This window comes from Homo sapiens, chromosome 10, assembly GCF_000001405.40.
Source record: "Homo sapiens chromosome 10, GRCh38.p14 Primary Assembly".
In the NCBI taxonomy this organism is placed as follows: Eukaryota; Metazoa; Chordata; class Mammalia; order Primates; family Hominidae; genus Homo; species Homo sapiens.
The window spans coordinates 113977491-113990077 of NC_000010.11; the positions used below are offsets into that span (position 1 = coordinate 113977491).

General features: G+C 44.0%; 2 annotated features.

The window, feature by feature from the left end:
- Positions 5757–5836: an enhancer, noted in NCBI's record as "active region_4076". NCBI's record gives its function as "activates an Ori minimal core promoter by ATAC-STARR-seq in GM12878 lymphoblastoid cells {active_cell/tissue: GM12878}" and the evidence as "EXISTENCE:reporter gene assay evidence [ECO:0000049][PMID:35858748]".
- Positions 5937–6006: an enhancer, noted in NCBI's record as "active region_4077". NCBI's record gives its function as "activates an Ori minimal core promoter by ATAC-STARR-seq in GM12878 lymphoblastoid cells {active_cell/tissue: GM12878}" and the evidence as "EXISTENCE:reporter gene assay evidence [ECO:0000049][PMID:35858748]".

A 12587-nucleotide genomic window follows, 5' to 3' on the forward strand; every position in this document is an offset into this window, starting at 1 on the left:
AGAACTTTCATCTCTCCTCGCTACACCAACTTCAACCTTGATGCAAGATTTTAACACTGTAGAATCCTTTCAGTTCAGCACTCTTGGGTCAGTAGGAGTCCAAAGCTATTTTCTGATCCTTGATCTGCCTGAAATATGCAAATAGGACCTTCCCTGGGATATGTGCCATGTGCTCAAAGTGGGAAAAGATGGGTTGAGATGAAGGAAGAGTCCCCTGGTAGGCGATGACCCAGTGACAAGAGAAAAGCAGTAGGCATCTGTGAGGGTGAAGGAGGGGAAGGAAGCCAATGCTACTGTCTCTTCTGGGTGCCACGGCAGAGGTTCAGGGGGACACATGTTATTTCTGCCCACCTCACTCCTCTTTCCCATTCTTCTGGGAATATTTTTTTCCTTTGGGGGTTCCCTCTTCCCAGCCACATGACCTAATCAATTTCAAGCCCCTTTCCCATCCTTTCTCTGGGCTTATAGGGTAGTTTAAATTTGGCTTCTATCACTTGCTCCCCAAAGAATTAGGAAGGTTCTACTTGGCTCTGTCTCTGAGATCGGGAACCACACACTTAAACAAAGGAAGCCTACGAGCCTTGTAAGTGGAGGGTCCCGATGGGGTTAATAAGAGATTGACTTCCTTATGGGGAGTGTCGAGCCCAGACTCATACCCTAGGTGTGAATGTGGGGCTGTGCAGGCCTTCTTGGCTGCATGTGGACCTAAGAGAACAAGTTGCACTAGACTACTCTATTTAAGAGCTACTTTGATTGAAAGAACAAACCAAATAATAATGATGGTAATTATAACTTATTTCCCTCACTAAGTTATATCTTTTTATGAAGGCCACTTGGAAACAAGAATCTCCCCTTTGTATGCACATGGAAATGAGACACCTGAGAAGTGTGCTCACCATGGGTCACAGCTTGTGGCATTTCCCCGTTCGCTGCCTTTAAGGCTCTCAAAAGAACAGAGTGCTTACATTTTTCCTTGTTTGTCTCAATTCCTTTATCAGTGGTTTCCTTTCAATTCTATTTTTTTTAAAAAAAAGCCTTTTGATTTTCTTCATATAGCCTTAAAGAGATCAGTAAATTTCAAACCCACTTTGCAGCTTTGCTGACTACTAAGTTTCTACTCTTGCTGGTTGGGCCCCACCTGGCAGGGGCTTCCAGGCGACTTTCTTTCTCGGGCTGCACCAGGCATTTTCACGTGGACAAAATGTGAAAAGCGAGGCCCACGGGAAGCCACGCAAACACTGTGACACACTGTCTTGCAAAATCTCTCGTGACCTAGTGGAGTGAAAAGTCCAAGTTCATTTTATCCAGCTTGAAAAAGCCCAGTGGTCAGGGACAGTGACCCACTGTGCTCTGGACAGCCCTGCATGTGACTGGTGAAAGCTCCCTTCTGTAAGAGCAGTGGGGACGGCCAGGGGAAATGCTCGTCTGGCCTCCTGGGTAACTCAGCCTGTGTCCCTCGCCGGGTTGCTGGGCTGAGCCGGAAGTCCAAGAGGGAGCCTTTTCCAGCTCTGGCCGCCAGGCCACATGGGACATGCAAAGCCATTCCAATGCTCCATGAAAGAGCATAGAGCAGCCATTGTCATGTAAAATTAGCCTGGGCAAAACCCCAGAGAACATAGCATTGGATGCCATCCGGCTCACCCTGAACAAGGGCATGTGAGAGATAAAGACTGTTCCAGCGCCTGCTTTTGGTCATCAGCGTTTTCCCAATTCCTCACTGTCCATCTGCTACTTTTCATCTCCCTCCTGCCCTGAATTCATTGATCACCACTTTGCTTCCCAGCAGATGAGATCCAGGAGACGGAAGTCTCCTCGTAGCCGCAGAGGAAAGGGAGAATCCAAGGAATGAATCCACTGGCCTTATGTTTGCCAAAGCTCCATTAAAACTGCACTCCCATTTAGCAAACTGATTTTTGGCTCTTCTTCCCGACTTGCTTCTCTCCATCAAATGTCTACTTTGCCTAAGATCACCCTCAGGCCTGATAACCCAGAATTAGGGCACGGTCTGGTGTCCCCTGAGGCCTTTTATTAAAAGCCAAGGCTGCTGACATTCTGCATAATACCTCCCCCAAAGAAGGCTTCGGCTTTCTCTCCATGCCTATGAAAAGCTCAGAGCTTGCCAATAGCGAATTGTTCTGACCCACTAGAGCCAGCCAGAGCCAGGGCAAATTTTCTGTAGGCCTCTCATCAATTACCATTTATTTTCCAGGCTGGACACTCCTTGTGGAGCAAGGCAGGAAGCTGAACTGTGCTCAGAGACGATCCTGGCAGTGAAAACGCCAGAGTACTAAATGAAAAACCGATTTTCCAACTTCTCCAAGAAGTGGGCCTCACAGGCCACCGTAAGGATTGATTTGAATATTGTCATTTCTTGACACCCCAGGCTGAATTTTCCAGGACACAAAGGTATAAGGTGTTCCATCTACTTGATCATTTTTATGGCCCATGGGGAGGTAGAAGGGAACAAGTAATTGGATGCACCAAGCTATAGAACAAACGAAACTGTAAAATCTTTGCCATCAAGTCCTGGGTCAAAGTGACTGGCTCTTAGATATGCAAGAAATCTGGCCTTTCTCAGAATAACAAACGGGAATGGAGCCTCCAGCAATAAGTCAAAAAGTGAGTCTTTCCTGGGCTTCAAGGAGCAGACAGTGTTTCCCATTAACCATCCAATATTGAAGAAAAAGAGCCACCTAAGAAATTAATTTTGGGTTACAAACTAGCGAGAACTATTGGTAGGAAATAAATCAAAACAGGCATACTGGTTGTGCTGCAGTGATAGGGTTGGTGGTGGGTATTTTTTTCTCTCTTTTCCTAACTTCCTGTATAGTATAATCATTTATATTATTTTTTTTAGTATTTTCAGAAAGCTTCTCTCCCTTTTATAGCGTGCATGCCACCCAAATACCTAGTTCAAAAGTTTGGCACTTATTCTGAATGCCTTTCTTGGTTTCCCCTTAAATATCTCAATTCATGCCTCACGTTGTCCCTGTCTCCACCTCTCTGTTCTAGTGGAGGCACTTGGTGCCATTTCACTCCTCTTTCTGGTCATTGACATCCTTTCCAAATGGCTTCCCAGTTGCTGGTCTCACTCATTGTCCTGCTCATCCTCCACCCACAGCCAGAGGGAGCTTTCCAAAATACAAAGGTGGTAGTGCCACATTCCTGTTTACCCTCTTCAATGCTCATCACTGCCCCAAAAGACAATATCAATTCGTTTCCATACCCAGGACTTTCCAAACCCCAACCTGCCATGTTCTTCAACCCCATCCTTCCCTCTGCAACCACTCTCCCCAGTTTCCCTCCAGATCCTTTCTCTCCAGAAATACTCAGCTTCTTGCAGTTTCCTCACCCACCTATCCATCCTCCACCCTCATAGCTTATTCCAGCCACAGGCCTTCATGTAACATTCCCTTTGCCTGAAATGCCCCTCCACCCACCACCACCCACCCACCATTGAGGAGCTGCTGGGCCACCTCCTGGGCCTCCATAAAGTTCAAGCATAGCACGCTTCCCACCCAAGCAGGAGCCAATGGCCACATACTTTGTTCTTCACTGACCCTGTCCTTGTGATAGCACACAGCTGTGGAGCTGGGAATCCACATTTTTGTCTCTCTCAGTAGACTGTGCACTCCAAGAGGACAGACCCAATTTGATCATTGCTGTACCCTCAGTGCCTGGCTTTGATAGTGCTTGGCACAGAGAGAAGCTTTAATGAATATTTGTTGATTTACTGAAAGGATGAGGGTAAATCAAGGAATGAAAATGTGACTTCTGGCCATCCTTGTGACCATATTTAAAATGGTATCATCTAAAGTACTCAAGAAAAAGCAAGTCACATCGAGTGTCTATTGGTTCCCCCTTTTGGCTTTTTGTCTCTCTCACTGCTTTACCCTTTCCAGGCCCCAAACAAGTGTCTACAAGGAAAGTATAAAGCAGTACCTACCAGAATTTGTTGTGTCTTAGTGCAGCTGTGCTTAGGACTTCATTGGCAAAGGATTATGGGTGACATAATGGTGGGGCCTACATATTACAGTGTGGTTCAGTGGCAAAGGATTATGAGTGGCATAATGGTGGGGCCAGTGTATTACAATGTAGTTCAGTGGCAAAGGATTATGGGTGACACAATGGTGTGGCCTGTATAATATTACAGTGTAGTTTAGTAGCAAAGGATTATGGGTGACACAATGGTGGGGCCTACGTATTACAGTGTAGTTCAGTGGCAAAGGATTATGAGTGACACAATGGTGGGGCCTATGTATTACAGTGTGGTTCAGTGGCAAAGGATTCTGGTGTCAACACTGTATTACAGGAAGGTCCAGGTTTTGAAAAGGAGGATATTCCTAATAGAAATATCTGCTGCAATTACAGGTACCCTACCTCAGTCTCCTCTTTGTGCATTACAGATCATTAACTATTTGACAGAGGATAAGGCAAACATACAGAGAAACCCAAAGCCAAAGTCGTGGAAGCCACTGTGAAATGAAGATTAGCTAGAAAGGAAGATAAAATATCCCTGAAATTCTAATGTAAATCCATGGGAAAGAAAAGTTTGTTAACACACTGCTGAAAAGTCCATAGTCTGGGTTCTAGCCCATCTAGCCATTAGTTGTGTGACCTTGGACAAGCCATCTAAACTTTTAGAACCTTAGTTTCTGCAGTGTAAAATGAAGAGGGGATTGAAGTTGGTGTCCTATGAAAAGATGTGAAATTGTTTCAGAACACTAAAAATCTGTTCACAATACAACAGTAAGAACCCAGGCCATGGCGAGAGAAGTGGGTTCAAGTCCTGGAACTGCGGCTGTGTTTCACTTGTATGTCCTTGGGCAGACTTTCTAAGCTCTTTGAGCTTCAGTTTCCTAATCTGAAGATTGGGGCTTATGCCATGGAACTTCTAGAGCAGTTGGGAGGAATAGGAAGTAGTGTATATGTAGTGAAGTTAGCTCTGATTATTGTTGGGTTTTGAGGCCACACAGCATAGTAGTTAGGAGTTTGGACCCACCTGGTTTGAAACCCCAGCTGTGCTGTATGACCTTGGGCAGGCTACTTACTTTCTCTGCACCTCTATTTTTTCCTGTGACAGATGGAGAGAATGGTTTTACCTACCTCAAAGAATTATTAAGGGGATTCAATAAGATAAATATAATAAATAAGTGTGAAGATATTGCTCAGGATCTGGCTGGCAATGCTTTTGCCTTTTCACTGCCTGAACTGAGTCCACAGGACCAGGTGCTCCAGCCCCTCCCACTCTGGCTCCTTCTTGGCTCAGCCCCCTGAAGTCAGAAGGGCCCTTCCTTCCCATCCTTTCAGAAGGAAGAGAGAAGAGGAAGGCAAGGTCCCAGTGACAGGGGAAGGGCCCAAGATGACCTTGGAGGCACAGAGAAAGCTGCCTGGAACTCAACTGCCCTCAGAGCCCACTGGTTCACCCCCCCTCACCTCTCTTGGTTTCTGAAGCTTAAAATAGCCTGAACCGGTGTGGCCACATTTCACTGTGCCACTCGGAGAGAACCCCTAGGGTGTTTTCAAAGCTAGTGCTGAGCTCCTCGGGGCAGGCTCCAGCTATAAGTTATTCATACACACCCTAGCTCCACCAGGTCTGCTGCAAAAATGTGTTCTGAGCGCTTTTCTGCTAAGGCCCCATCTACAGGCAGCTCCACTTGCTGGGAGGGGTCAGATCAGTCAGCTACTTTATTTAATAAAGAGGGATTCTGAAACCCTTCCGTGGCTGCTAGGAGTGCTGCTGACCAGAGCAAAGCGACCACAGGTTCTAAGCAGAGGCAGGGGCTGCATGGTGGGGAAAGGCATAGCCTGGGAGTCAGGCAATTGGTGTTCTAGATCCACCTCCGCCCACACCGTTAGATGATCTGAAATAAGTCACCTCCCCTCTCTTTGCCTCTGTAGGTCTCTCAAACTGGTTCTGTCCTCTGCTACGTACTAGTCTCATTCTTAGACCTTATATGATGTCAAGATGGCTTCCAGCAGCTCCAAACCTACTTCCTCTCATGTTCACATCCAGCAGGAAACAAAGAGGGCTTCCCTTCCCCTCGTTAGCCAGACCAAAGTCCTGCCCTGACCCCTGTAGCTTGAGTTGGGCTATGTGCCCATCTAGGGTAGGGGACATGGTGAGCTGGCCCACAGAGCCCACTCTGACCTCCTTCTGGGGCTTCCGTATACTGCAAAGGCTGGAAAACTGAAATATACATCCACAGCCTCCCTCTAAGCTGGGGTTCTGCAAGCACATCAGGTCCCAGCCACAGGATGTGGTAGGGTGAGATTTGAAAGACAGCCGTGAGAGAGGCACTCTTTTCTTGCTGTGGCTCCTGGCCCAGGACGGTTGTTTCAGTGTCCAGTCTCTAGCTTCTCAGATGTTGAAAAGCTTCAGAACCCTAGCCTGTAGCAACTGGATGTATTCTTGAATACAGGGGTTCTAGTGGGGGCCTCCTCACTCTCTGCCTTCTTGTTTGATCACTGGTGGGCAATGGGCATCTTTCAGGAAACCCAGCCAGAGCCTGCTCCTTCAGTCCTTCCAGTGATTTCATGAGCACCTGTTGCTTTGTGTTGAATACCTTTCTGATTAAAAACTGCCAGAGTAATTCCTTGTATCTGACTGCTGGCCAAGGCACCATCCCTGAACCAGTCACTGGGCCAGAGAGAGAGGAATGTGCTGATTGCCTAGAATTTGACATATACACCCGTCTCCGGGGTCTGTGTTGATCATCTCTGCCAACAGATACAGACCAAGAAAGAGAAGAGTTTCCTGAAATTACTATTACTTTAATATTGCTAAATTGCTTTAATAATTAAATTACAATGATTAAAATGGGGAATTGAAATTGGGCAACCAAAATCAGCAAATTCCCACTACCTATCCCAACCCAGATCTCACGGTGGGGAGCTCTAGAAGGCAGATAAATGGAATAGCCGCAGACATGAAGATTTTGTCCAGGTCAAACTTACGATGCAGCAGACATTGATGGTGCCACACCCAGATACCACCAATCTCCCTCGTGTGCCCAACACCTGGTTTCTTGAGGAAAACTCTCCTGGGTGACCCGAGCCACTTTGCCCATGCTCATAGACAGCTGGTGGGGGTGGGCGCCTGGAAGCTCACCTTGCCCAGGTTGACCCTTAACCAATGACTGACCACAGCCTGGGGCTGAAAGGCCAGCTCCCCTGCCTCAAGTACGAACTGACTCTAAGGTTTAATTTACATTCCAGAGCTCCCCTGTGGGGTTGAGCCTAGGTTGAGACTTGGCTGGAGATGGAACCTGTGCTTAGCTTCTTCCCCTTCCTTATCCTGCTCCCCAAGCTCCTAGAGGATTTTCTGCATCAATCATTAGCACAGGAATCCTCTTCTCAGCGTCTTCTCCAAGGAACCCAGCCATATTGAAATGGCCAGAATCATTCAACAGCTTGGCATGAAAATGATCAGTTTTCAGCCAGCGAAAACTCTGACCTCTACTCTGCCTCACTTGGAACATGACATTGTCAATGTTGAAGTGAGTCTTGCTTCCCAGCTAAGATTCAGGCTGTAAAATAGGTTCCTTCTTTTTAGAAGAGACCATTCCTTGGGGATCTTCTATAATTCTTTCTTTGTCCTTCAGCCAAGATTGGAGCCTTGCAAACCTAAGACAGCATCAATTAATCTTGTTTTTATTTTCACTGCTCCTTGATTAGAAAATGTTAACGATCAGAGGTAACCCCAAGTTCCTTAATAAATATTTGAATAAGGAACGTCTTTCCTTTCATTAGCTTGAGAAAAAGGTCGCTCTGGTCTTTGTATTTTAATACTGAACTTTTTTTTTTTTTTTTTTGTAGAAATCAGAAGGGAGTAGAAGAAACTTAAGTGTCTTTTTCTTTTTCTGAAAAGTAAGCAAGTTCATTGCACCACTAGCAGATACATAAAGGCTAAAGCCTGACCTCACAGGGCCCAAGAACAATTCCTGACCCCAGCCAAGATGAACACTGGGAATTTCCTTCTTAAGCAGCGGTTCAAGTGTCCAAATCAGTAAACGTCTTTGTCTTGGCGCCATGCAACCCACAGTCTCGCTACCTCCTACTGGGAGGGCCCATTACTGGGGAGATGGTTATATTGTAAGAAAACCTCTGTTTGCCAAATTGGAGGGTTGGGTAATTACAATTCCAGGACTTCACGTAGGTGGTTTCTTCAAAGGCCTTCATTTATTTGCTGCTTAGTGTAGAAGAAACTTCATTTATGCAGTTTCTTTTGCTCCCAGGGAGCCTAAGAGCTTGGTACAGCTAATGGACTGCTTATCACTGACTTTAATATAGTTCCAGGCAGCTTAATGCTAAAGCAACTTGATGATTTGATATGAAAAGCATCTATTTTTACTGAGAATGGAAGATTAACTACTCAGGTGTCCATTCAGAAAACAATGTAGCTGGCCAAAGACATTTGTTTCTAGAAAGAGACAGAGGCAGGAGAGAGAGACAGGGACAGAGAGAGAGGAAGGAAGGAAAGGAAGGAAGGGAAGGAAGGAGGGAAGGAAGGAAGGAAGGAAGGAAGGAGGGAGGGAGGGAGGGAAGGAAGGAAGGAAGGAAGGAAGGAAGGAAGGAAAAGAGGGAGAGAAGAAGAGAGAGTATACATGAATATATGCTGGTAAATATTAATCCCTGGCAGACAAGGCCGGCTCTGTCCAATAGAAATATGATGGGAGACGTGTGTAATTATAAAGTTTCTAGTAATCACATTAAAAAAATTAAAAACCAGAAGAAAGTAAAACTACGTTTAATAACATATTTCATTTAACCTAATATATCCTAATGTCACCTTTAATAATTATTTAATAATTAATGTAACCATTAATGTTTGAAATGAAATTATCATTTCAACGTGCACTCAATAGAAAGAATATTAATAAGATATATTGCATCCGCTTTTCCTAATTTTTCTAAGTCTTCACAGTCCCATGTGCTTTCTGCACTTACAGTACATCCCACCTCAGCCACATCTCAACACTCAAAACCCTGTGCCAACTGCGGGATGCTGCAGTGGACAAACCAGGCAAAACCCATCTTTATGGAGCTAACATCCTAATGTGGCCTGGTCTCTGCCTATGCCACCCGACTGAAAGGACACGAGTGACCTCCAAATGGCCTCTCCTTACTCCCAAGCCTCCTTGGCATTCTCTTTGATGGCTCTGCAGTGCGAGTCACATTTGATTATCTATGTCTTGAAATGTTCTCTTCTTGATTTACAAAACCCGATATTCCTGGTTCCTATCCTGTCCCTCTGGAGCTGTACCCACAGTGCTTTCTCATTGCCCTCCAGATACAAGTTATCTCTATGTCTGTCTCCATGTGAACAGCTCCCAATCCCAGGCTCCCAGGCGGAACCCGGCTCCTCACTCCCAGTTGCCTGCCCCCCACCAACACCTAAGAACAAATGCTCTGGACCAAAACCCTCATTTCTCCTGCTGCCCGTGCCAGCTCTCTTCCTTGATGCCCCAGGTTTCATCCATGTCACCATCACCACTGAACAAATATTCAGTGAGCACTTACCCTGTGCCAGCCGTGAGATGCCAAAATGGACAAACCAGACAAAACCCATCTCCATGGAGCCAACATTCTAATGAGAAAGGAAGTCAAATATATAGTGGTGTTACGTGACCTCAGCAAGAAGGGGACACGAGAGCAAAGATTTGAAGGGGGCAAGAGCTCAAACCATGCAAATACATTGGGAAGGGCTTGTAAGCCAAGAGACCTCATGGCTGGGGATGTCCAGTGTTTGGAGTTGGAAGAAACCATGCTACTGGAGTCAAGGGAGCAAGGGGGAGGAAAGAAGGAAAGGAGATCTGAGGGTAGTGAGGACCCTGTGTGGTTTGGCTGTGTCCCCATCCAAATCTCATCTTGAATTGTAGCTCCCATAATTACCACATGTTGTGGGAGGGACCTGTGGGAGATAATTGAATCATGTGGGCGGCTTCCCCCATACTGTTCTTTTGGTAGTGAATAAGTTGCATGACATCTGATGGTTTTATAAGGGGAAACCCCTTTCGCTTGGTTCTCATTCTCTCCTTGCCTGCCGCCATGTAAGATGTGACTTTCACCTTCCACCATGATTGTGAGGCCTCCTCAGCCACATGGAAATGAGTCCATTAAACCTCTTTTTCTTTATAGATTACCTAGCCTCAGGTATGTCTTTATAAGCAGCATGAGAACAGACTAATACAGGACCCTAGAGTGGCAGGCCATCTAGGCCATTGTGAGGGTTTTGGTTACCCAGGCTTAGAATGCAGGGCTGGTCTTGCCTGTGCTTTTCCATTCATTCAGTGTGCAGAGCTGACCCTCAACCTCCCTAGATCCCATTTCCTACTCTTCATTTTATCCAATCTCCCCTGCACCCCCTAACATTGGTAAGTTACTCTCTCTAAAACACAACAGTGATCATATCCTACTTTGTCACAACTTATCCCCAGCACCTTTTGTATAAGGTTTAAAGCCTCTGATGAGTCATTTAGGGCCCCCTTGCACAATCACCCTTCCCTCTTTGCCCATGGCTGCACCTCCCTCCAGTCAGATTGGAGTTTTTGCAGTTCCCTCTGCGAGCCTTGTAACCTCTCTTGTTTCCTGCACCTGAAGTATACTGGGTCACTACTCAGTTCAGGGAATAAACACGGTATCTTCTGTGAAGATGTCCCTCAACCAGGTTCACCCCCTAGGGGTAGTCACTTCTTTGAGCTCTCATAGCATTTTGCATTTGTTTTTAGCACATTTGCCATTTTTGACTTGCATGATAGTTATCTTTGTCTTATCCTCTCCTAAATTTGTCTAGAAAACTCACCCTTTTGGTCTGTGCAGACCTCATAGTTCCTAGGGTTATGCCTCCCCAGAATGGGGTACCATGTATTTGTTAAATATTCCAGTGAAAGAATGAATGAATCACAGTAATATAATGAAATGCTGTGTTGTACAGCTCTGTGGGGGCAGTGGAATTGGACATTTTCTTTCTTTCCTCTAATGTCCAAAAGTGAGTAGTGTCTGTTGTATTACTGAAATAAAATGTTCATACTTTTTAAAAATCACTGTAAGTCGTCATCAGCCATCAATCATCAATCATCAGTCAGGCAACTTAAACTTTTCTGAGCCTGTCTCCTCAGCTCTAAGAAGAGGACAAGCATTCTCACCTCATAGAGTTGTAGTGAGAATTAACAGGAGAGCATGTATGAAAGATATTAGGTACCTAGCCTGGCACATAATAGTTGTTCAGCAAACATATACGATGATGATGATGATGGTGTTGATGACGATAATGATGATGATGGTAGTGATGATGGTAATTATGACTTTCAAAGAGCTAAAAATGAAGTGCTTAAAGGAGAAGGTTCTGTCTGGGTGGTTGGGTGATCACAGCTCTCAAGGTAAGGTAATTAATTTTTCCCTCCATCTGATGCTATTTGCAAAAGTAAAGGCCATCTGATATATTCATAGAAGGTTCCAGATATATCAATTATTCATTCCCACATCTGAGACTTTGAAACAGGTAAATTTCATGCTGGGACTACAGATGACCAAAAAGGAAAAAAATCTAGTTAGCACGGCTATTCAGTGTGATGAACTGTGTACAGTATTAGATCTATATGTAGTTTTTTAAAAGGAGCACATTTTTCTTATAATAGTTTTATAGTTTTATTTTTACATTACAAAATGATGCATGTTTATTACATTATAAACAAAAAAGTAAAAAGAAAATAAAATCACACATCATTCCATTATTTAGGAGCAACGTCTGGACATGTTGAGGTATATTTTTCTTTCTGATAATGTTTTATTTTTTTTCCTTCTAACATTTTGAAAAAGTGCAATGTATCCTCTCTAACTATGTTACTGGTTAAGATTCATTTAAATTCATTTTTCTCTAATTAGTAATGACAAGAATGAAATAATACCTATTACCTTTCTCTTATGTAAAATATTATATTTAGTATATTACTTACTTTCTTCTTCTTCCAACCATTCTCAGCTCTGGTTTGATCAATGTGGAATTTTTGGATTAAATTACTGTTACTAATAATGTATATGTTCTCTTTCAATAATTATTTTAATATTTACTTAATTTTTATAACCATATTAGCAATAATTATTTGGATTTACTTATATTTAACTGGTTTCATAGTTTAAGACCTATACACTTATTCTGTGTGTCCTTCCCATTCTTAAGTGATTTTTTTACTTCATCTGTCATTTGACTGCTTCTGGTCAGTTCTTTGAGTAACTTTTTCAGCAGGGCAGGTAAGTGGTTGACTTTCTGAGGTCTAGAATATCTGAGTGTGTGTGACCATTACTCGGCTGAATGTAGAAATAGTAGTTCATAAGCATTTTTTCCCAAATTATGTGGATGTTGTTCAGTTGCTTCTTTTGTTTCATGTAATGCAGGAAAATTATAAATTCACACTGATATTTATTCATTTGTAATAATTTTCCTGGATGCTTACAATGCTTTTTTTTCTTTACCCTCGAAATTCAAAAAGTTCATTAGGGTAAATCCACTGGTCTATTTAATAAATCTTGCCTGGTACTTAAAGACTCATCTCTTTTCTTTAGCAATTTAGGGTCACTCTGTTTGG